The 25,207-nt window shown below is 43.8% G+C and overlaps 1 protein-coding gene across 27 annotated transcripts in view, besides 2 other annotated features; it reads right to left on the bottom strand.

Moving 5' to 3' along the window:
* DYNC2I1 (dynein 2 intermediate chain 1) overlaps positions 1-25,207 on the bottom strand; it is a 119,454-nt gene that overhangs the window by 59,570 nt on the left and 34,677 nt on the right. For 15 of the 27 annotated variants that reach the window (XR_007060058.1, XR_007060061.1, XR_007060060.1 and 12 more), the window contains exons 4-8: positions 22,438-22,520; positions 19,140-19,445; positions 14,510-14,565; positions 12,054-12,108; positions 7,787-7,864 (exon numbers count right to left, since the gene is read on the bottom strand). Coding sequence is in view for 15 of the 27 variants with exons in the window: in XM_047420560.1 (XP_047276516.1) it covers positions 7,787-7,864; positions 12,054-12,108; positions 14,510-14,565; positions 19,140-19,445; positions 22,438-22,520 (578 nt within the window). In the remaining 12 variants the exon portion in view is untranslated. Of the gene's footprint in view, positions 1-7,786; positions 7,865-12,053; positions 12,109-14,083; positions 14,239-14,509; positions 14,566-19,139; positions 19,446-22,437; positions 22,521-25,207 lie in introns of those variants that run through there. The other 12 variants (NM_001350914.2, NM_001350918.2, NM_001350917.2 and 9 more) reach the window with 4 other exon arrangements.
* Positions 19,763-20,439: an enhancer, noted in NCBI's record as "H3K27ac-H3K4me1 hESC enhancer chr7:158671381-158672057 (GRCh37/hg19 assembly coordinates)". NCBI's record gives its function as "activates a minimal SCP1, AML or CMV promoter by ChIP-STARR-seq in naive H9 embryonic stem cells {active_cell/tissue: H9 hESC(naive)}" and the evidence as "EXISTENCE:reporter gene assay evidence [ECO:0000049][PMID:30033119]".
* Positions 20,440-21,117: an enhancer, noted in NCBI's record as "H3K27ac-H3K4me1 hESC enhancer chr7:158670703-158671380 (GRCh37/hg19 assembly coordinates)". NCBI's record gives its function as "activates a minimal SCP1, AML or CMV promoter by ChIP-STARR-seq in naive H9 embryonic stem cells {active_cell/tissue: H9 hESC(naive)}" and the evidence as "EXISTENCE:reporter gene assay evidence [ECO:0000049][PMID:30033119]".

Raw genomic sequence — 25,207 nt, 5'->3', positions numbered from 1 at the left:
ACATGCATAGGTTATATGCAAATCCTATGCCATTTTACTTAAGGAACTTGAGCGTTTGCAGATTTTAGTATCCACAGGGGGTCCAGGAACCAATCCTGTTCCAATACCAAGGGATAACATGCTTATGTCTGCTTATACACAAGTAAAATGAATGACAGCAAGGATACAAGGAATGGGAGTGATACAGTCTTATTCAAAAGTGGACTTGTATTGGTTGTAAATGTATTTAAACCACTTTAAAAAGTTAAAAAAAAAAAACAACCTTTAACTGATATGCTAAGAAAGGAGAGAAAATAGAATCATAAGATGTTCTATTAAAACCACAGAAGGCAAAAAAAGAATGAAAGACAAAAACAGGAACAAATAACAAGGGCAACAAATAAAAAATAGTAACAAATATGGCAGATACTAATCCAATATATCAATAATTACTTTGAACATCAATGATCTAAATGTACCAATCACAAGACAGAGATTGTCAGAGAGGATCAAAAAACAAGATCCATCTACTTATTGTCTTCAGGAAACCCAAATGAAGAAAAATATACCATGCTCACACTAATCAAAAGAAAGCAAAAGTCATTATATTAATTTCTGACGCAGCACACTTCAAAGTAAAGAGAGTCAACATGAATAAAGAAGGGCATTACACAATGATAAAGATGCCAATTTTATGTCTTTAATGAAAGACATAACAATCCTTAATATGTGTGAGGGTCAAATTATTTAAGTCAAAAACTAATAGAAGTGCAAGAAGAAATAGATGAATCCACTATTACAGCTGGAGACTTCAACATCCCTCTATCAGAAATGGACAAATCCAACAGGCAGAACATGAGTAAGGATATAGCTGAACTCCACGGCACCATCAGTGAACCGGGTATAATGGGCAGCGTTAGACTGCTTCACCCAACAACAGCAGAATACACATTCTTATCAAGCTGGCATATAATTCACCATGATAGCCCATATTCTGGGCCATAAAACATACCTTAACAAATATTAAAGAATGGAAATTATACATCTGCTCTCAGGTCACAATGGAATCACACTAGAAATCAGTAACAGAAAAATAACTGGAAAATCCCACAATATATGAAGATTAAACAACATATTTCTAAATAACACAGAGGCTAAAAAACAAATCTCAAGAGAAATGTAAAAGCATTTTGAACTAAATAGAAATGAAAACTTATCAGAATTTGTGGAATGCAAACAAAAGCAGTGCTTAGAGGGCAATTTACAATGTTGAATGCATATATTAGAAAAGAAGAAAGATCTAAAATCAATCATCTAAGTTTCTAGCTTGGATTAACTAGAAAAATAAGAGCAAATTAAATCTGAAGTAAGCAGAAAAAAGAAATAATAATAATTAGAGCAGAAATCAAAATTAAAAATAGGAAATCAACAGAGAAAAATCAATGAAATCAAAAGCTGTCTTTTTTGAAAATACCAATAAATCAGTACACTTCTAGGCCAAGCTAACTAAGGAAAAAAAAGAAAGTGGATCCAAATTACTAGCGTCAGAAAGGTAAAAGAGGACATCACTGCAGATCCCATGACATTAAAAGGATAATCAAGTAATACCATGAACAGCTCTATGCCCATAAATTTGATAACTTAGTAAAATGGGCCAATTTCATCAAAGACACAGTTGCTAAAACTCACACTAGAAGAAACAGACAATTTGAATAGGCCTATACCTATTAAGACATCAAGTCAATAATTAATAACCTTCTAAAAAAGAAAACACAAGGCCCAGCTAGTGCTAGAAAGCACTAATACTGGTGAATTCTACCAAACATTTAATAAAGAAATTATATAATTCTTACCTGGGCACGGTAGCTCACACCTGTAATACCAGCACTTTGGGAGGCCAAGGCAGTAAGATCTGAGATGGGTGAATTACCTGAGGTCAAGAGTTTGAGACTAGCCTGGCCAACATGCTGAAACTCCACCTCTACTAAAAATACAAAAATTAGCTGGGCATGGCGGCAGGCACCTGTAATCCCAGCTACTCGGGAGGCTGAGGCAGGAGAACTGCTTGAACCCAGGAGGTGGAGGCTGCAGCGATCTGAGACCGTGCCACTGCACTTTAGCCTGGGAGACAGAGAGAGACTCTGTCTCAAAAAAAAAAAAAAAAGAAATTATACAATTCTTTACACTCTCTTCCAGGGCACAGAGGCAGAAAGAATACTTCCTAAATCATTCTATGAGGCCAGCATGATCCAGACAAAGATATTACAAGAAAAAAAAAAAAAACTACAGACCAATATCATTCACGAATACAGATGCAAAAATCTGCAACACAATTGTACCAAATCAAAGCCAACAATGTATACAAAGAATCACATAGGGCCAGGCACAGTGGCTCACACCTGTAATCCCAGCACTCTGGGAGGCCAAGGCAGTAAGATCACTTGAGCCCAGGAGTTCAAGACCAGCCTAGGTGAGATCTTAAGACCCTGTCTCTACAAAAAATTTAAAAACTAGCTGGGCATGGTGGCACATGCCTGTAGTCCCAGCTACTCAGGAGGCTAAGGTGGTTAAGATTGCTTGAGCATGACAGGTTGAGGCTACAATGAGCCATGATCACCCCACTGCACTCAAGTCTGAGCGACAGAGTTAACACCCTGCCTCAAAAAAACAAAAGATAAAAAATAAAAAGAATCATACACCACAACCAACTGGCATTTATCCCAGGTATGCAAGCCTGGTTCAACATTGAAGGATCAATTAATGTAATCCATCAAATCAACAGGCTAAAAGAGAAAAATCATAAGATCATATCAGTAAATGGAGAAAAAACATTTGACAAAATCCAACAACCATTAATGATAAAACTCTTAGTAAACTAGGAATAGAGAGAAATTTCCTCCACTTGATAAAGAACATCTACAAAAAAACATACAGCTAATATCATACCTAAGTGAGAAACTCAGTTTTCCCACTAAGATTGAAAACAAAGACTATATCATCTCACCACTCCGTGTCAGCATCATGCTGGAAGTTCTAACTAATGAAATAAGAAAAGGAAATAAAAAGTATACTGATTGGGAAGGAAGAAATTAAACTTTCTTCGCAGAAAATATGAAAGAATTGAACAAAAAAAACCTGACTGGAAATAATAAGCAATTACAGCAAGGTCACAGAACACAGAGTGAGTATACAAAAGTCAGTCGCTTTCCTATATACCAGCAAGGAACGAGTATAATCTGAAATTAAAAACAGATTATTACTTATATTAGCACCCTCAAAAATCAAACAGGTATTAATCTAACAAAATATGTACAAGATCTCTATGAGAAAAATTATAAAGCTCTGCTAAGCAAAAACAAAGAACTAAATAAATGGACAGATATTCCATGTTCACAAATGAGACTCAAATCTGTCAAGATGTCAGTTTTTCCCAACTTGACCTATAGATTCCATGCAATCGCAATAGAAATTTCAGAATTGTATGAATATTGGCAAACCGACTCTAAAGTCAGATGTAGAGGCAGAAGATCCAGAATAGTCAACACAACATTGAAGGAGAACAAAGTTGGAGAACTGACATGACCTGATGTCAAGACCCACTACAAAGCTATAGCAATCAAGACAGTGTGTACTGGCGAAAAGAGTGGACAAATAGATGAATGCAACAGAACAAAGAGCCCAGAAATAGACCCACATAAATACATCAACTGATCTTTGAAAAGGGAGCAATGGCAATACGGTACAATGAATGAATGATAGTCTCCACAAAAAATGGTGCTGGAACAAATAAACATTCACACTATGATCTAGACAGACCTTACACCCCTCAAGAAAACACACTCGAAACAGATCACAGACCTAAGTGTAAAATGCGAAACCATAAACTCTTAGGAAATAGCACAGGACAAATCTAGATGACTTTAGGTATGGAGATGACTTTTTAGATACAACACCAAAAGCATAATCCATGAAAGAAAAAATTGATAAGCTGGACTTCATAAAAATTAAAAACTTCTGTTCTGTAAGAGACAATGTCAACAGGAAGACAAGTCACAGACTGAGAGAAAATATTTGCAAAAGACAACTGACAAAGCAGTGTTATCCAAAACACACAGAGAACTCTTAAAACTCAACAATAAAAAAATGGGCCAAAGATCTTAACAGACACCCCACTCCACTAAACAAGATATACAGATGGCAAACAAACATACAAAAAGATGCTCCACATCACATGTCACCAGGAAAATGCAAATTAAAAGGACGGTGATCCTTTTATATCCAGAACACCAACAACACCGAATGCAGGTGAGGATGTGGAGGCACAGGAACTCACATTCATTGCTGGGGAAGGCAAAACCCTATGGCCACTGTGGAAGATGGCTTCGCAATTTATCAACAAAACTAAACATACTCTCATCATATGATCCAGCAATCACACTCCTTGGTAGTTACCCAGTAGAGCTGGAAACTTGTTCACACAAAAACCTGCACACAGATGTTTATAGCACATTTATTCATACTTGCCAAAACTTGGAAGCAACCAAGATGTCCTTCAGTTAGTGAGTGGATAGACTACAGTACATCCCTACAATGGATATTATTCAGCACTAGAAGAAATGAGTTATTAAAAGCCTTGAAGAGACACAGGGGGACCTTAAAATGCATATCACTAAATGAAAGAAGCCAATCTGGAAAAGGCTACAAACAGTATGATTCTAACTACAGACAATCTGCAACTTACAATGATTCAATGTATTATTATTTTTTTTTACTTTACAATGCTGAGAAAGCAAAACGCACTGAGTGGAAACTACTTTGGATTTTGTTTTTTTCCTGGACTAGTGACATGCAGTATGATATGCAGTAGGACATGTGGTAGGATATGCGCCATGATATATGGTGTGACATGCAGTACGATATGTGGTAGGATATGCACTATGATATACGGTATGATATGTAGTATGATACGTAGTGTGACATGCATTATGATGTACGATATGTGGTAGGATATGCGGTATGATATGCGGTAGGATATGCAGTAGGATATGCACTTTGCTATACGGTATAATATGTGGTATGATATGTGGTGTGACATGTGTTACAATATGTGGTATGATATGTGGTAGGATATGCACTATGATATACGGTATGATATGTGGTGTGACATGCATTACAATATGCAGTATGATATGCAGTAAGATGTGCAGTAGAATAAGCACTATGATAGATGGTATAATATGCGGTATGATATGTAGTGTGACATGTGTTACGATATGATATGTGGTACAATATGTGGTAGGATATGCACTATGACATACGGTATGATATACGGTATGATATGCGGTGTGACATGCATTACAATATGTGGTACGATATGCAGTAGGATATGCACTATGATATATGGTATGATATGCGGTGTGACATGCAGTACGATATGTGGTACGATATGCAGTAGGATATGCACTATGATATATGGTATGATATGCGGTGTGACATGCAGTACGATATGTGGTACAATACTGTTATGATGCTGGCAACAGCAGCAGCCACACCTCCCAGGCAGCCACGTGACCAAGAGGCTGAACAACCAATACTCTACAGTGTGCTGCAGTCAATAAATTATATGAGATATTAAACACCTTATTACAAAATAGGTTTTGTGTCAAATGATTTTGCCAACTGTAGGATAACGTAACTGTTTGGAGCACATTTAAGGTAGGCTGGGCTAAGCTTCAGTAGTTAGGCATATTAAACGCATTTTCAAATCACGATACTTTCAACTCACTATGGGTTTACTGGGATGTAACCCTGTCACAAGTTGAGGAGCAGCTGTATAAGACACTCTGGAAAGGGCAAAGCTATACAGACACAGACAAGATCAGTGATTACCATGAATAAGGGGGAAGGGAGGGATGAACAGCCGGAGCACAGGGGTTTTAGGGCAGTGAAACCACTCTGCATGATGCCCTGTGGTGGATCCACGTCATGACCCATTTGTCCAAACCCACAGAATGTTTAAGACCAAGAGTGAACCCTAACATAAATCTTGGACTTCGGATGATAATGACACATCAACGTAGGCTCATCAACTGTAACAAATGCACCACTCTGGTAGGGTACATTGATAATAGGGGAGGCTATTCATGTGTGGGGGCGAGGGGGTATATGGGAAATCTTTGTATCTTCCTCTCAATTTTTTTTTTTTTTTTTTGAGATGGAGTTTTGCTCTTGTTGCCCAGGCCAGAGTACAATGGCTCAATCTCAGCTCACTGCAACCTCCGCCTCCTGGGTTCAAGCAATTCTGCCTCAGCCTCCTGAGCAGCTGGGATTACAGGCACGCGCCACCACACCCAGCTAATTTTTGTATTTTTAGTAGCGATGGGGTTTCACCATGTTGGCCAGGCTGGTCTCGAACTCCTGGGGTGATCCACCCACCTCGGCCTCCCAAGGTGCTGGGATTACAGGGGTGAGCCATCACACCTGGCCCCTTCCTCTCAATTTTGATGGAAACTTAAAACTGCTCTAAAAAAAAAATAAAGTCTTAGCCAGGAGTAGTGTCTCATGCCTATGATCCCAACTACTCAAAAGGCTGAGGCAGGAGAATCGCTTGATCCCAAGAGTCTAAGGCTGCTCTGAGCTATGATCGTGCCACTGCACTCCAGCCTGGGCAACAGAGCGAGCCCCTGACTCAAAATAAATATAAAATAAAAAATAATAAAGTCTTATAAAAATAAATAAGGTCCTCTTGGCACATTATCATATAAAGTCATTGCACATTATCATATAAAGTCATGGTACATTATATTAAATAACATATACTACATTTATTGTATCAGTAAATACAACGCCTGCTGACTGACAAGAAGAAAACAGGAATTTTCAACGAAAACTAACACCATCACATTTCTTATTCTCGTACAACTCAGCAGACCCAGTGGCTTTTAGTCAAGTCCTATGTCTGGCCAGGATTTTGAAACTACAGTTCATTTACTCTGCAAACACACCTAGTGTGGGCCAGGCACTCAGCCAGGTGAGGAGACAGTGGAGTACGCAGCAGACACCGTCACTTCTGTGCAGAGCTAGAACCACACTGGGGCACGCACCCCTGAGAAGGAACAAGAAACCCCCATCACCAGGAGTTCACCTGCCCCGAGGAGAGCCCCAAGTGCTCTCCATCAAGCTCCGCTCCAGGTCCTTCAGAGGCCCCGTCCGCAATTCTTCCCTCACACGAGGCCGTGCTCTGCATCAAGCTCCGCGCTACGTCCTTCAGAGGCCCCGTCCGCAATTCTTCCCTTATATGAGGATACCTGCATTTCCTTGATCTATCCAGTTTTGCATATATATTCTGAAAATTATTTATAACTTTGTGTAATTCTCAGCAACCATGGCCTGGATCGTGTCTTTTGTGATTTCTCTATTAGGTGTCTTCAAATCTCCTCACTTTCTTCAACTTACACACAGAGCAACAATGGGAAGGCTGTCTGTTCATTCACCCTAAACCTCTTCCCTCCAATTTCTTTGCAAAATCCTCTCCTCTTCCAGGAAGAAAGAGGCTCAAGTACCTGACGGTGTGCACACAACCCAGTTACATTCCTTGACCCCCACAACCCAGACAGCTTTCAACATGACCGAGGACTTCAAACAAGGGCAAGTATGAATTTCATATGAAAATCTCATCTGTCCCTTCATGCTCATGTTCTGCTGTCTGAAAGGGACAATAATTGCACTAGCAAAATGCTGACAGGAAAGCAAGCAAATGTGAGTGGGTCTGTGCTGGGACAGGATTGCAAACTATAAGAAGACGTACTCTCCTTACCACGGTTTCCTCGCCTCCCGGCCTCTGGTCCAGCTTCCACCACACAGAAGAGCCTTCCTCGTGGCCATGCTAATGGAGAGAGAACAGCCCCATCAGCCAGGACACAGGTGGGACTCCAGGGCACACGCCACGCAGCTCCCCCCCACCCCACCACTGCGGAGCCCGCCAGCCCTCAGCAAACAGGTGCACAGACTACGAAACTAACGCTCTGGGATGCAGGTCCCAGCCTGGTGGCTGACAAACTGTGTGACTTAGAGCAAGTATCTTCAACCCTCTGTGCCTCGGCTTTCCCTTCTGAAAAATCAGAATTATGGCATCTGCTTCACAGTAGCAGTGAGAGGAGTGGATAAAAGGATACACATGAAGTCCAGATCCCTGCATCTGATGAAGAAAAAGCCTTGCAAATGTCACCTTTGTCAATGACACTAGGAAGATCTATGCACTTAGAAGTCACTACCCAGGCTGGGCACAGTGGTTCACGCCTCTAATACTAGCACTCTGGGAGGCCGAGGCGGGCGGATCACCTGAGGTCAGGAGTTCAAGACCAGCCTAGCCAACATGGTGAAATCCCGTCTCTACTAAAAATAAAAAAATTAGCCAGGCATGGTGGCGGGTGCCTATAATCCCAGTTACTTGGGAGGCTGAGGCAGGAAAATCTCTTGAACTCAGGAGGCAGAGGTTGCACTCCAGCCTGTGCGACAAGAGCGAAACTCAGTCTCAAAGAAAAAAAAAAAGAAGTCACTACCCAAAACTAGGCAGTGTCTAAAACTGGTGACAGTATAAAGTATTATTCATGAAGAAAATAGAAAAAGAACTTCCCATGTGTCCAGAAAACTATTCTGGCACATAGCAGGCACTCCATAAATGCTGAAGAATTGAACCAAGATAAATTCAGTGTTGCTGCTGTAAAATCAGGATCTAATCAGAGCCAAAACAAGCTGTTAGATACATTCACAATCAACTGAAATTTTTCTAGAAAAAAACACATCATATATTTTACTCCTCTGGAAAAGAAAAAAAAAGAATGTAAAATATCCCATTGGTTACCTCACTGATAATTTTTATACTGATTACAGGTTGCACGGATACTATTTTAGATTTATTGGATTATATAAGATGTTATGAAATTAATTTCATGTTTCTTCTGTATGTTTTTAATGTGACTATAAGAAAACTTAAAATTATAGGCCAGTTGTGGTGGCTCGCACCTGTAATCCCAGTACTTTAGGAGGCTGAGGCAAGAGGATCACTTGAGCCCAGAAGTTCGAGACCAGCCTGGGCAACAGAGCAAGACCCTACCTCTATTTTTTTTTTTTTTTTTTTTTTTTGAGAAGGAGTCTCACTCCGTGGCCCAGGTTGGAGTGCAGTGACACGATCTCGGCTCACTGCAACCTCCACCTCCCGGGTTCAAGCGATTTTCCTGCCTCAGCCTCCCAAGTAGCTTGGGATTACAGGAGGCCACCACCACACCCGGCTAATTTTTGTATTTTGAGTAGAGACGGGAGTTTCACCATGTTGGTCAGGCTGATCTCAAACTCCTGACCTCAGATGATCCCCCTGCCTCGGCCTCCCAAAGTGTTGGGGTTACAGGCCTGAGCTACCATGCCTGGCCTTTTTGTTAATTTTGTTGTTGTTGTTGTTTTTATATAGATGAGGACTTCCTATGTTGCCCAGGCTGGTCTCGAACATCTGGCCTATTTTTTTCAATAAAAATACAAAATAAAATTTAAAATTATAAATGTGGCTCACATTATAATTCTAGTTAACAATGCCAACCTGGAGCTTAGAGACAAAATTGGGAAACATGAAGAAAATAGGAAAAGAAATCTATACGTTTTCATCCAGTATTTCCACAATTCCACTTCAAGAAATGTATCCACAAAAAAAATGCGGTAGATCTATATCGTCCAAACTGGAGGGATTTCCACTATGAACTAGGAAAAACAGGAGGGGTGGCCAGACGTGGTGGCTCACACCTGTAATCCCAGCACTTTGGGAAGCCGAGACAGGTGGATCATGAGGTCAGGAGATCGAGACCACCCTGGCTAACATGGTGAATCCCTGTCTCCACTAAAAATACAAAAAATTAGCCAGGTGTGGTGACAGGCGCCTGTAGTCCCAGCTACTCAGGAGGCTGAGGCAGGAGAATGGCGTGAACCCGGGAGGCAGAGCTTGCAGTGAGCCAAGATCGCGCCACTGCGCTCCAGCCTGGGTGACAAAGCGAGACCCCATGTCAAAAAAAAAAAAAAAAAAGAAAAACAGGAGGGGTGTGTGTGTGTGTGTGTGTGTGTGTGTGTAAATGTTTAAAACTGGCTTCCAAACTCCTAAATATACATACCAATATATGATTATAAAAGATTATATGAGAAGAAATATTTGTAGGTATTTTTTTCTGTGGTAAATGTGTGGCTATAGCCAGATAATAAGCAATCCAACCACCACCACCAAAATTAAAGAAATAAAACATCCACGTCAAAACAACAGGTGCTGTATGACCTAATTTATGTAAAATTATGTTTGTGTACGGACATAGAATAAAGCAATTCATAAAAATACTGCACAAAGGCCAAGCGCAGTGGCTCACGCCTGTAATCCCAGCACTTTGGGAGGCCAAAGCAGGTGGATCACCTAAGGTCAGGAGTTCAAGATCAGCCTGGCCAACATGGTGAAACCCTGTCTCTACTAAAAATACAAAAATTAGCTGGGTGTGGTGGCGCATGCCTGTGATCCCAGCTATTCAGGAGGCTGAGGCACGAATCGCTTGAACCCAGGAGGCAGAGGTTGAGGTGAGCTGAGATCACGCCACTGCACTCCAGCCTGGGCAACAGAGTGAGACTCCATCTCAACGTATATATATATATATATGTATGTATGGCACAAAATTGTTAAATATGATTACCTCAGAATCATGGGTTTCAGATAACGATCAAAGAAGAAAAAATTATTCTCCAGAAATAATTCATAGAATCCAAAATATGCTTGCCACATTATCTGTAATAACAAAACAAAAAGGCTGGGTGCGGTGGCTCACGCCTGTAATCCCAGCACTTTGGGAGGCCGAGGTCGGCAGATCATGTGGTCAGGAGTTCCAGACCAGACTGGCCAATATGGTGAAACCCCATCTCTACTATAAATACAAAAATTAGCCGGGCATGGTGGCGCATGCCTATAGTCCCAGCTACTCAGGAGGCTGAGGCAGGAGAATCGCTTGAACCCGGGAGGCGGAGGTTGCAGTGAGCCGAGATCGTGCCACTGCACTCCAGCCTGGGCAACAGAGTGAGACCTGTCTCAAAAAAAAAAAAAAAAAAAAAAAAGGACAATGGTTTGATAATAACCCTAACTCCACAGTGTGCTATTTTAGAGTCACTAAGTAATCATTACAAAGCCTACTCTTATGATCCTAATGGAGACAGTGAAGATAATGAAGACTGTGGAGAAACGCTGATGTACTAATTGACAAGCTCAGCACAGGGTACAATTCTCCCTGTGCATAAATACATGTCACAAGGTAGCTTAACACATGGAAACAATTATGCAAGGAGAGGGATGATGATTGTGTGTTAGTAACAAGTGTCTATTAATAACATGTGCTTGGTAGAATTTGCCAGAGAAGCCATCAGAGCCTGAGCGACTTTGTGGGGAGATCTGTAACACAAACGCAATGTCTTGACTCACTATAGGTCTATTCAGGCTACTGCTTCCAGCAGTTTTAGTAACTGATAGTCTCTAGGAATTTGTCCTTTCATCTAAATTACCTAATTTGTTACCATAAAATATTGTCCTACCTGTTACTGAAAGTGGGGTGCTAAAGTTACTATTATTATTAATTGTCTCTTTCTCCCTTCAATTCTGTCAGTTTTTGCTGCTTGTGTTTTGGGACCCTCTTGTTAGGTAAATATCCATTTACAATTGTTTTATCGCCTTCTGCTGAACCAATTATTTGCTCATTCTGAATTGTCTCTCTCTAGTAACACTTTCTGTCTCAAAATCTGTTTTATCTGATACTAGTGTAGCCAATCCAGCCCTCTCATAGCTGCTGTCTGATAGATTCTCTTTGTCCACCTTTTTACTTTCAATCAATTTGCATCTTCTAACCTAAAGTGAGTCTCCAGTGTGCCTTCTGGGATCACCACTCGAATAAACCATCTGCAAATGAGCCCTGTCTCGGCCTCTGGTTTCAAGGGGAAGCCCAAAGTAAGATTATGGTTAATCTCAATGTACCATAAAATCAATGTATTCTCAGTGGAGACTGCCTTACCTTCCGTCTTGAATCTTTATCTTTTCCATGATTCCTTACTAAATTCTCAGCATGCCTGGAAAGCAAACATAATCAAAATCAAAACTTACTTTAAATGAGAGCTTTTAAAAAATAAAACATTTTCCATATCAGTGAAAGCTCTTAACAATATTTTGATATGATTAAGAACTACTACAACCAGGAGCGATGACTTGCACCTGTAATCCCAGCTATTTGGGAGATTGAGGCAGGAGGACCACTTGAGGCCAGGAGTTCGGGACCAGCCTGGGCAACAGAGTAGACCCCATCTCTACAAAAATAAAAAATTAGCCTGGCATGGTGGCACATGCCTGTAGTCTCAGCTACTTGGGAGGCTGAGGCAGGAGGTTTGCTTGAGCCCAGGAGTTTGAAGCTGCAGTGAGCCATGATTGTGCCACTGCACTACAGCCTGGGCGACAGAGAAAGACCCTTTCTCAAAAAATAATTTTTTTAAAAAACTGTTTCAGGTTAGCAAAGCATGTTTTATTAGAGCAATAAATGTTAAAGTCTTCCTAGCATTCTTACTATTTTAGCAATAATTCAAGACAGAAAATATCTTCCAGAGAAGAAATTATGTGTTTTAACAAACTTGTGAGTGCAAATCTACATCCTTTACAAGTTCTCGGCCGGGCGCAGTGGCTCACACCTGTAATCCCAGCACTTTGGGAGGCCAAGGTGGGCAGACTGCCTGAGGTCAGGAGTTCGAGACCAGTCTGGCCAACATGGAGAAACCCCATCTCTACTAAAAATACAAAAAAATTAGCCAGGCGTGGTGGCGTGTGCCTGTAATCCCAGCTACTCAGGAGGCTGAGGCAGGGGAATTTGCTTGAACCAGGGAGGTAGAGGTTACAGTGGGCCGAGATCATGCCACTGCACTTCAGCCTGGCGACAGAGCAAGACTCCATCACAAAACAAAAAATAAAAAGAGTTGTAGAAATTTTCTATAATTTTATTGGTCTATCTGAAATACTATTTTATATTAAATATAAAAGATATATATAAAATATAAATATGTTATATAATATGTAATATAAAATAAAAATATAAAATCTTTCTAAAAGAAAGATTTATCTTGAAATGTTTTATATTTTAATCACATTTCATGTTAGGACCTAAAATAAAGATTTGCAAAATATCAAACTGATTCTCAATTTTTAAACTTTCATTCATATCAATATACCATGCGGTTTAACAAAAATACAGAATTGAGCAAAAAAAGTCTTATTGTGCCTTCTAGTGGACATGCAGTATAAAATCCAGGAATTGACACCCTAGGTTTAAGTGTTAGCTTTGCCCAAACTTGTAAAAATTTGGGTAAGATATTTAACCTGGGTTTTCTAATCTTTGAAAAACGATTACAAAATATGATTGTCAGAAAGAACAAATTAAAGTCTAGGGCTTACATATGAGAGTTTAGGCCAGGCACAGTGGCTCACGCCTGTAATCCCAGCACTTTGGGAGGCCAAGGCAGGTGGATGACTTGAGGCCAGGAGTTCAAGACCAGCCTGGCCAACATGGTGAAACTCCATCTCTACCAAAAATACAAAAATTAGCTGGGTGTGGTGGTATGTGCCTGTAGTTCCAGCTACTTGGGAGGCTGAGGCAGAAGAATAGCTTGAACCTGGGAGGCGGAGGTTGCAGTGAGCCGAGATTGCGCCACTGCACTCCAGGCTCGGCAACAAAGTGAGACTCTGTCTCAAAAAAAAAAAAAAGAGTTTATACATAAACTCCAATTATGTATTGCAAAACCCACACGAGACAGGAATTATCATCACTGCTTTAGCGAAAAGCCACCCAACACTGCAACTAAGAGGTAGACAGGAAATTCCAACCAAGGCTGACCCCCACCCCCAGCTCTGGGGGTCTCTGCCAAGGCCTGAGGGCGGAATGTTATCCCGTGTGTTCACAAGTGATAAACAGTGGGCAGAGGGGGACTCGCCGGCACGTCCTGTTTTTAGTGGCTGTGAACCAGAATGGTTTGCTCAGGTGCGTAAAGGTGCAAAACTGCCCACCTGCGGATTTGCTTTAGCTTCAGGCAGGGAGGACTCCCTCTTGCACATTAAGTGACTCCCAAGTGAATTATTCTCCCCAAAGTGAGTACCAATTTTCTAATTTTGCATGAGCAAATGTTAAAAAGGACAAAAGTAGATCCTGAGGCAATAAATACAAACAATAATATTAAAATGAAAAAATTAAAATATAATTAATTTAAAAGGCCAAAGAAAGCTAATAATATATTAAGTTTCCAAGCTCCTCCAGTATTCCAAAAACCTACCAACCCATTTGGAGGGGCTAAGGGGTAAAATCTAGAGAAAATGAAGTATATCTATAACTGATTGCCATGGACTGGCCGTCATCGGAGCCAATAAGAAAATTCCCTGAAGCATTCCATGAGAGCGGCACACGTAAAGGTCGACCACAGGGCATGCAATCCTTACTGGCTGCTGGTCCCATCTCTTTTTGAGCTTGCACCTCGATTTCTGTGTTCACCATTCTATCAAACAAAAATATAATCCCATAACCATTTATTAGCATATCGGAATGAAGTAAGCATAATTAGTAAACCCCACAAAACAAGCACAGATTCAAAATTTAACAACAGCATGTACATCACAAGTACCTTTTAAAATAACTATTTTTACCAGTTATTTTTAGTAAATTAGATAATTAAATGTAAAGAAAATGGATAAAAGTATATATAAAAGGGTGATTATGCTGGGCACGGTGGCTCACGCCTGTGATCCCAGCACTTTGGGAGGCCAAGGCGGGCGCATCACCTGAGGTCGGGAGTTATAGACGAGCCTGACCAACACGGAGAAACCCCGTCTCTACTAAAAATACAAAAATTAGCCGGGCGTGGTGGCGGGCGCCTGTAGTCCCAGCTACTCGGGAGGCTGAGGCAGGAGAATGGCGTGAACCCGGGAGGCGGAGCTTGCAATGAGCAGAGATTGCGCCACTGCACTCCAGCCTGGGCGACAGAGCGAGACTCCATCTCAAAAAAAAAAAAAAAATTGTTTTTTAAAAGGATAAAGGTGTGGCAGATAGGATAACAACGAGATGAGGCCACTGGATTCTTCTATTAAAGAAGTCACTGGGCCGGGCGCGGTGGCTCACGCTTGTAATCCCAGCACTTTGGGAGGCCGAGGCGGGCGGATCACGAGGTCAGGAGATCGAGACCATCCTGGCTAACACGGTGAAACTCCGTCTCTACTAAAAATACAAAAAAATTAGCCGGGTGTGGTGGCGGGCGCCTGTAGTCCCAGCTACTCGGGAGGCTGAGGCAGGAGAATGGCGTGAACCCGGGAGGCGGAGCTTGCAGTGAGCCGAGATTGCGCCAATGCACTCCAGCCTGGGCAACAGAGCAAGACTCCGTCTCAAAAAAAAAAAAAAAAAAAAAAAGAAGTCACTGGTCAGGAAGCTTAGAACATTTTGTATATTTATTGTACTTACTCATACTCTATCTCAAATTGATAACTGGAGGAAGCTTACAATAAAAGTTATATCATTCTAATTAAAATCATGGATCAAAAATCATATAGAGGCCAGGCACCATGACTCACACCTGTAACACTTGGCCTTGGTAGGCCAAGGCAGGAGGATCACCTGAGGTCAGGAGCTCGAGGCCAGCCTGGCCAACATGGCGAAACTCTACTAAAAATACAAAAAAAAAAAAAATAATAATAAGCCAGATGCACACCTGTAATCCCAGCCACTCGGGAGGCTGAGGCAGGAGAATCACTTGAACCCAGGAGGCGGAGGCTGCAGTGAGCCAAGATCACACCACTGCTCTCTGGCCTGGGCGATACAGTGAGACTCAATCTCAAAAAAAAAAAAAAAAAGAAGAAGAAAAAATATCATATAGAGAAAGTGAGAGAGAATCACAGAGAACATCCATCCCCGGGAACAGTCCCAGTTTCTATCTGTTGTCCTGGCGTAATTATTAGCAGTGCACCTTGCACTTTACGGTAACCACAGGATAATTACATCAAGCAGTAGGTTCAGAGTACTCAGTTGAAGAATATCTAAAATTGATACTAATTTTGAGTATCAAAAGTACTCAAAAGTTTTGAATTTCTGAAAGTCAACGCAAAGGAAAAAATCTTTAATTATACAATGCTCGATCCCCATTCCTGATATTGTATCGTGTATCTGTTCATTTCTTTTCCTTTTTTTTTTTTTTTTGAGACAAAGGCTCACTCTGTCCTCCAGTCTGGAGTGCAGTGGCACGATCTCAGTTCACCGTAACCTCTTCCTCCCAGGTTCAAGCAATTCTCCTGCCTCAGCCTCCCAAGTAGCTGGGATTACAGGCACGTGCCACCATACTTGGCTAATTTTTGTGTATTTTTTAGTAGAGACAGGGTTTCACTATGTTAGCCAGGCTGGTCTCGAACTCCTGACCTCAAGTGATCCACCTGTCTCGGCCTCCCAAAGTGCTAGGATTATAGGTGTGAGCCACCATGCCTGGTCTCTTTTTTAAGACAAGGTCTTACTGTACCACGCAGGTTGGACTGCAGTGATATGATCACAGCTCACTGCAGGCTTGACCTCCTCGGCTCAAGTGATCCTCCCACCTCAGCTTCTGTAGTAGCTGGGACTACAGCTGTGTGCCACCATGCCTGGCTAAATTTTTTTTTTTGGTAGAGATGGGGTCTCACTATATTTCTCAGGCTGGTCTTGAACTCCTGGGCTCAACAGATCCTCCAACCTCAGCCTCCTGAGTAGCTAGGACTCCAGGTGTAAGCCACCACACCTATCTGAGATTTAGGTGGTTTTTTTTTGGTAGTTCTTTATCCTATGGCTTCTCCAACACAACATAAGCACCATAAGAACAGTAATTTTTGTTTTGTTCACAGCTGTATCCTCAGCACCTAGAACAGTGCCCAGCATACAAGCCACTCAGATAGGAACAGCTTGTCTTAAAAAGAAAATGTCAGTCGTCTGAATAATCTTTCTTCTGGGACTAATTTGAAGGCAGTGGTTTTACAAAGATACAGGATAATGTTCTTCATCGACCATTTTTCACATTCACCTTTAATAAAAGCCAAATCTATGTCCAGAAAGGCATTTCTGGGTGGAACTAAGCACATGTAACCTAAGTCACTTCCAGTAATTAAACATGATCTAGGGAATGGAGAATAGCCAAGTTCAATAAAAGGCAAGTAGCGGAGTCTAAGTTATGGGTACAAGAGTGTTCTTTGGAAAATTACGTCGACTTTGCTGTATGTTTGAAAATGTTCGTAACACAACGTTGGGAGAAAATGATGAAGTTTTGATCTAGGGAAAGAGATTTAGAAACAAAAAAAATGGCCGGGCGCGGTAGCTCATGCCTGTAATCCCAGCACTTTGGGAGGCCAAGGCGGGCGGATCATGAGGTCAGGAGATTGAGACCATCCTGGCTAACACGGTGAAACCCCGTCTCTACTAAATATACAAAAAATTAGCCGGGAGTGGTGGCACATGCCTGTAGTCCCAGCTACTCGGGAGGCTGAGGCAGGAGAATGGCGTGAACCTGGGAGGCCAAGGTTGCAGTGAGCCGAGATCGCACCACTGCACTCCAGCCTGGGCGACAGAGCGAGACTCTGTCTCAAAATAAATAAATAAATAAAAATAAATAAAAACAAAAAAAATGAGTATCTGTCCTCAAGGAGCTGCTTCTCAGTGACCGCCTCAACTAACCTTCCGTGTGGCTGACTAGAGGGGAGTCCAGGCTTTCCACACCGTAGACGCGGGTAGCAGAACCGGCACTGCCTCAAACCTGCTAAGAAACACGGCCAACGCCCTGATGCAAACAGAGGGCGTGGGCTGCGGAAGACAGTGGGGTCTCAGTGAGGAAAGGCCCCAGGGCAAAGGCGAGGGAGGTTAAAGGACTCTGACCCCATGCAGGACAGCGCCAAGAGCGGCTGAGATGGCCGGGAGCCAGGCAGCTTCTGCTCCTAACACGACTGCTTCTCGGCCTAAGTGCTCCCAGTTCTAACCCACTGGCATTCGCGTTTTACAGTAAACACTGCAGTGGCCACCAGCTCTACGTCCATTTCCTCAGCTGTGTCAGTTCAGATCAGGAGATCCGGGTCCTGCGCTTCTGCTGAGGCCTCCAGTCTCATCCCTGAAGGTGTGACTCTCCCCTAGCCTCAGATACCACCTGACTCTTGCAAAGATTTTGCTTCCATCTTAAAGGAAGCATCACCAAGAAATAGGTAAATAAGATCATATTAGCTTCGGATTCTGTAAAAACAGCAGCAAAAAGCACACTCATGAGAACAAAAGGTGCTAAAACACCTCTAGGAAAATCCTAAGTACAGGGATGAAACCACAGACCTGGGAGGGAAATTAGACCCTCTGCAATCAATGCTTTTACATTTTTGTTCTGTCTTGTTTTGCTTTTTTTGCAAACTTATACCAATTCTGGTTGAAACGTTTGCTAATTATTCACTTAATTTCCACTTTAAAACGTACCAGCTTCCTTTTCAATGTTAAATTTCAAAAAAAATTTTTTTTTGAGAGACAGAGTCTCACTCCGTCACCCAGGTTGGAGTGCAGTGGTGCGATCTCAGCTCACTGCAACCTATGCCTCCTGGGTTCCAGCAATTCTCCTTCCCAGATTCCAGCGATTCTCCTACCTCAGCCTCCCAGGTAGCTAGGACTATAGGCACCTACCACCATGCCCCACTAATTTTTGTATTTTTAGTAGAGACGGGGTTTCACCATGTTGGTCAGGCTGGTCTCGAACTCCTGACCTCAGGTGATCCACCCACCTCGGCCTCCCAAAGTGCTGGGATGACAGGCATGAGCCACCGCGCCTGGCCAAATTTCAAAGTTTTATGATAGATTTCCAAATATCTGTTAAAAGTACATTCACGATATAATCAAAATATGTGACAGCACATTCCTTAGGAGATCAGTAATCTGTCTATACTAACCACGTAATCAAGACTTGAGTTGCGTTTTTCCTAAATTACTACTACTAGGCCACAAATCTCAACCTTGTCTGGCGACACCGCCCGGTAAGCCTCCTCTGAAAGCGCCGGCCTCGGGGCGGCTGCTAAGGCAACGAAGCATCAGAAGGGGTACCTGGGATTCCCTTTTCCTGGGCTCATCTTTTGCCGATTTCTCTTTTCTATCCACGTTGCTTTGGTGCCTCTCATCATCAAAATGAAAACCTTCTTTGTGTCGCTTTTCTTTATGTCTTTCTTCCCCTTTGTCAGAGAATGAATTACTTTTCTCTTTGGAATATTTCTCTCTTTTTTCCCTTGTGCTGCTTTTTTCTCGGTGTTTGTTGTCTCGATCTGGCTCTCTGGGCTTCCTGTGTCTCCTCTCGCCTTCTTCTTTATAAAGCCAGTACTTGAGAGGGTTGTCCTTGCTGTCTCCGTACTGCAGCTGTAAAACACGACAAGCTGAGAAACACAGGAGCACATCAAATAGGAGTGCAGCCAGCCCTCCCTCTCTGTGGGTTCTGCAACGACGGATCCAACCAACCACGGATCAAAAACATTTGAAGAAAATCGTGTCTGTAGTAAACATGTACAGACTTTTTCCTTGTCATTACACCCTAAACAATAACAACTATTTGCATCTCATTTATATTGCATTAGGGATTTTAAGTAATATAGAGACGATTTAAAGCATCCCGGTGGAAGGGCGTAGGTTATATGCAGACACTACACCATTTTATATGGGGGACTTGAGTATTCATGGATTTTGGTATCTGAGGGGGTCCTGGAGCCCTTCTCCCATGGATACCAAGGGACGACTGTGCTGTCTTTATAAATGTTACAATAAAAGGAGGAAAACTTACAGAACTACCACTGCCCCCTTCACTCCTCAATTCCACTGTCAGATATATTCCTGAAAACTTAATCTGTTACCCTTGTGTAAGGAAAAACCCTATTCATGTCATGGTCCATGGTCAGACACTGCTGTCACCCCAACGCCACACAGTAACTCTGCAGCCCAGCCACCTCGCTCCCACAGAGAAAGCAATGCCTCCCCACATGGTGCCCGACACTCACGGTCGGCCCTCCTGGCCTCTCCACATGGCACCCAGCACTCACAGTCGGCCCTCCTGGCCTCCCCACATGGCACCCGGCACTCACAGTCAGTCCTCCTGGCCTCCCCTCCTCGCCTCCCCACATGGCACCCAGCACTCACAGTCGGCCCTCCTGGCCTCCCCACATGGTGCCCGGCACTCACAGTCGGCCCTCCTGGCCACCCCACATGGCGCCCGGCACTCACAGTCGGCCCTCCTGGCCTCCCCACATGGCACCTGGCACTCAGAGTCGGCCCTCCTGGCCTCCCCTCCTCGCCTCCCCACATGGCACCCGGCACTCACAGTCTGCCCTCCTCGCCTCCCCACATGGTGCCCAGCACTCACAGTCAACCCTCCTGGCCACCCCACATGGCACCTGGCACTCAGAGTCGGCCCTCCTGGCCTCCCCACATGGCACCCGGCATTCACAGTCGGCCCTCCTGGCCTCCCCTCCTCGCCTCCCCACATGGCGCCCGACACTCACAGTCGGCCCTCCTGGCATCCCCACATGGCGCCCGGCACTCACAGTCGGCCCTCCTGGCCCCTCCACATGGCACCCGGCACTCACTGTCGGCCCTCCTGGCCACCCCACATGGCGCCCGGCACTCACAGTCGGCCCTCCTGGCCTCCCCACATGGCACCCGGCATTCACAGTCGGCCCTCCTGGCCTCCCCTCCTCGCCTCCCCACATGGTGCCCGGCACTCACAGTCGGCCCTCCTGGCATCCCCACATGGTGCCCAGCACTCACAGTCGGCCCTCCTGGCCTCTCCACATGGCACCCAGCACTCACAGTCGGCCCTCCTGGCCTCCCCACACAGCACCCGGCACTCACAGTCGGCCCTCCTGGCTTCCCCTCCTCGCCTCCCCACATGATGCCCAGCACTCACAGTCAGCCCTCCTGGCCTCCCCTCCTCGCCTCCCCACATGATGCCCAGCACTCACTGTCGGCCCTCCTGGCCTCTCCACATGGCACCTGGCACTCACAGTCGGCCCTCCTGGCCCCTCCACATGGCACCCGGCACTCACAGTCAGCCCTCCTGGCCTCCACAGCCTCATCCCTCATGCTGGTGGCCCTCAGCCTAAGCTCCGCCAGCCCTGGGGTCCCTCCTGAGCAAGCTCTGACTTCTCTGAGAGATGCCTTCTCCGGTGAGTATGACAGCACAAGGCTGCCACATCTCTCATATGGACATGTCACATCACTCTTTCTCTCCTAATTAGTCCCACGCAGATGGAGAGTCTTGAAAATGGGACCAGAGTTTAACCATCTCTGTGACTAAAACACTCAAACCTGGGTGACAGAGCAAGACCCTGTCTCTAAAAAATAAAAAAAAGAGAGAAAAAAAATAAGCAAAAGTACACAAGTGGTAAATAACAAAAGACAGTAAACCTGCTTTTAAAAATGCCCAGAAATGCCATTTTCTTCTGAATCAAATGAGCAAAACTTTTAAACGAAGATGATGCCCAGCTCCTGCTTAGGACATAAGGAATTATGCTCTGATGATATAAATAATTACAACTTTTATGTAAAGCTAATGAGTTAAGTTTACATTTACTTTGATCCAGCAAGTTCATTTTCAGAAATTAATCATAAGGAAATAATTATGAACGAACCAAAAAGCATACCATCTGGATGTCTTTATAATTTAAAGAAAAAACACAAACACACAGAAACAACCTAAGTGTCCAGAACCGCAGGTGCCTGGAGAGCACCAACACACCCGCACCGCAAAACACCAATCCGGAACCGCAGGTGCCTGGAGAGCACCAACACACCCGCGCCGCGGAACACCAATCCGGAACCGCAGGTGCCTCGAGAGCACCAACACACCCGCACCGCGGAACACCAATCCGGAACCGCAGGTGCCTGGAGAGCACCAACACACCCGCACCGCGAAACACCAAGTTGCACGCTCACTGAAACACGGGGAGAGACAGGATCACTCAGGAAAAGGCTCAAAATGTGTTCCGTTTAAACAACTTATAAAACAGTAAAAATCTAAAGAAAACAATGTTATACATACACAAATATATAAACCTGGAAAAATACATACCTAAATGCTATCAATACTTACCTGTGGGTGAGGATTAGACAGTTTTTGTTTTCTTACTACTTATTTGTATCTTCTAAATTTTCTAATATCATCACATACTACCTTTGGAATCAGAAAAACGCACTTGACTATGAGGAGAAAGAAACTGACTATACACAGTGCTGGAGGCCTTTTCCAGGACTGAAATCCTGGCTTAGGACATTTTCTAAAAATGCTTCCAACAATAATGCTTAAAACATCCTTTACTTGGCAACATTTGGAAAACTTTTCCCCAGGCCTTGCTTCGTATACCTTTCTTTCTCGGTATCTTCTTTCTCTATCTTCATCTCCTCTTTCAGAGTCTTCATCTTTCTCTTCACTTCTTACTTTACTTACTACAAGAAGTAAAACATATTTTTAATACTCCCAAATGTTAGCACATCAAAAAACTCTTTTAACATCTTGCTATGGATGGTATTGCACATTTTATATTCGTTAATATGTATTTGAAAATATTCTTCAACTAAAACACATGCCTCCAACTCAAGAATGAAGAGTTCTAGTATCAAATTTAAAATGAAGAAGGAGATGAACATGGCAATCTAAGTGATATGGTTTGGATCTGTGTCCCCACCCAAATCTCACGCTGAAATGTAGTCCCCAATGCTGAAGGTGGGACCTGGTGGGAGGTGACTGGATCATGGGGGTGAATTTCCCCCTGGGTGCTGTTCTTGTGATACTGAGTGAGTTCTCACAAGATCTGGTTGTTTCAAAGCGTATGGCACCTCCCCACTCTCTCCCTTCCTCCTGCTCTGGCCCTGTAAGACGTGACTGCTTCCCTTCACCTTCTCCTAAGACTGTAAGTCTCCTGAGGCCTCTCCAGCCATGCTTCCTGTACAGCCCGCACAATGGTGAGTCAATTAAACCTCTTTTCTTTATAAATTCTCCAGCCCCAGGTGTTTCTTTACAGCAGTATGAGGACAGACTCGTACACTAAGGAACAGAGAGATTTCTTGCCTCACTCAGTTTGCTGCTGAAGCAACCAGGCAAATGTCTGAGTAACCCTTGGAAATTCAAGAGGGCACCAGACCAAACTCATACAGCCTTCAGGGTTTCTGCATATCACGCAGAAGCAGGGCTTAGTCTGAACAGGAGAACCAGCCCAGTCGGCCAACACTTTAGCCAAATGTGAGCTCCAGGGAAATGCCTGCCCTCCTGGATGCACTGAGGACCCAGAGCAGCCCCCAAACCTCCTGGCACCCCCACTGCTGAGGGGACCAAGGAAGCCAGAGGCCCCTGAATCAACAAGGAAGCCAGGTGCAGCTGACTCCCCAGGGCACCAGACTACGGCATCCATCCTGGGCTGGGGAGGCTGAAGCACCAAGGCCCAGTATGACCTGCAAGAGAGACCGGGGGCAAACAGAGCCAGGCAGGTACCGATGACACCAAAGCATCATCCAACAAGGAAAGCTGGACTTTCACTTCTGAATCTGCACACAAAAAAGGCATCAGATGTAAAATTCAGAGAGTGGACACTTTAAAAGATCAGGGCAAAGTTAAACTTTCAAAGATCACTGAGGCAAAGTGCATTCATTCAAAAAGCATTTACCAGGCTGGGCACGGTAGCTCACACTTGTAATCCCAGCACTTTGGGAGGCCGAGGCAGGTGGATCACGAAGTCAGGAGTTCAAGATTAGCCTGGCCAACATGGTGAAACCCCACCTTTACTAAAAATACAAAAATTAGCCGGGCGTCGTGGCGTGCGCCTGTAATCCCAGGTACTCAGGAGGCTAAGGAAGAGAATTGCTTGAACCCAGAAGACAGAGAATGCAGTGAGCCAAGACTGCAACACTGCACTCCAGCCTGGACAATAGAGCGAGACTCCTTCTCAGAAAAAAAAAAAAAAAAAAAAGGCATTTACCAAGCACTGAGCACTCTTCTAGGAGTCTGGGTTACAGAGGGAGGGCCCCAGAACAGGTAGATTTTCAAGGCTGAAACCCCAGGACTCTCCAAGAGACTGGAAGAGAAAGCAGGGCATCAGGATATATCCCAGGTCTTGTGACCTCAGGACGCGAGGATGCAGGTGCTATTAACTGAGACAGGCAAGCCTGCAGGACAGCCAGTGTGGAGGGGCTACCGGAAGCTTCATGTGGGGTACACTGCGTTTGTATTACCCATTAGACTTCAAAGCACAGGGGATACACAAGCCTGGAATTCAGGGATGATGCCCAGCTGGGGGTAAAAACTTGGAAATAAGGACACAGACAAACAGTATTTAAAACCATGAGACTAGATCCAGCCAGCAAGGGCAAGGGGTTGCTGGAGAGGAGGCCTGGGGACCCAGCCCTGGATAAAGGCCACACTGCACAGATGGGCTTTGTGGAAAGAAAGGAGATGAGAAGAGATGTACAGAGGAAAGAACTAGAGAGTCTAGTCTACGATCAGTTTTCAAAAGTCTTTCCAGTACAATTCCTTTCAACACCACACTGAAAAAATGAGCAGGCAGCCAAAAAAGGGTGATCTGAGAACAAAAGATTTGATTGCAAATAAATACCAAAAACATCAAAAACAATAATTTTGAAAAGAGCATTAAATAGTAGGACAGCTACTGTTAAAATTAATTAGGCCAATAGCAGGGCGTGGTGACACGTGCCTATAACCCCAGCTACTCAGGGGGCTGAGGCATGAGGATCACTTGAACCTGGGAAGCGGAGGCTGCAGTGAGCCAAGATCACACCACTGCACTCCAGCCTGGGGAACAGAGTGAGAGTCCATCTCAAAAAAAAAAAAAAAATTAATTAGGCCAAGTGCAGTAGCTCCTACTTATAATCCTAGCACTTTGGGAGGTCAAGATAAATGGACTGCTAGAGACCAGTTCAAGACCAGCCTGGGCAACATGTGGAGCCCCATCTCTACAAACAATTTTTTTTAATTATCCAGGTGCTGGCCGGGCGCTGTGGCTGACGCCTATAATCCTAGTACTCTGGGAGGTCAAGGTGGGTGGATTGTCTGAGCTCAGGAGTTCAAGACTAGCCTGGCCAACATGGTGAAACCCCCGTCGCTGCTAAAAATACAAAAAATT

The sequence above is a fragment of the Homo sapiens genome, chromosome 7 (genome assembly GCF_000001405.40).
Source record: "Homo sapiens chromosome 7, GRCh38.p14 Primary Assembly".
NCBI lineage: Eukaryota > Metazoa > Chordata > Mammalia > Primates > Hominidae > Homo > Homo sapiens.
The sequence above is the reverse complement of the archived record's forward strand: the minus strand, read 5'-3'. Positions and strand labels throughout refer to the sequence as shown.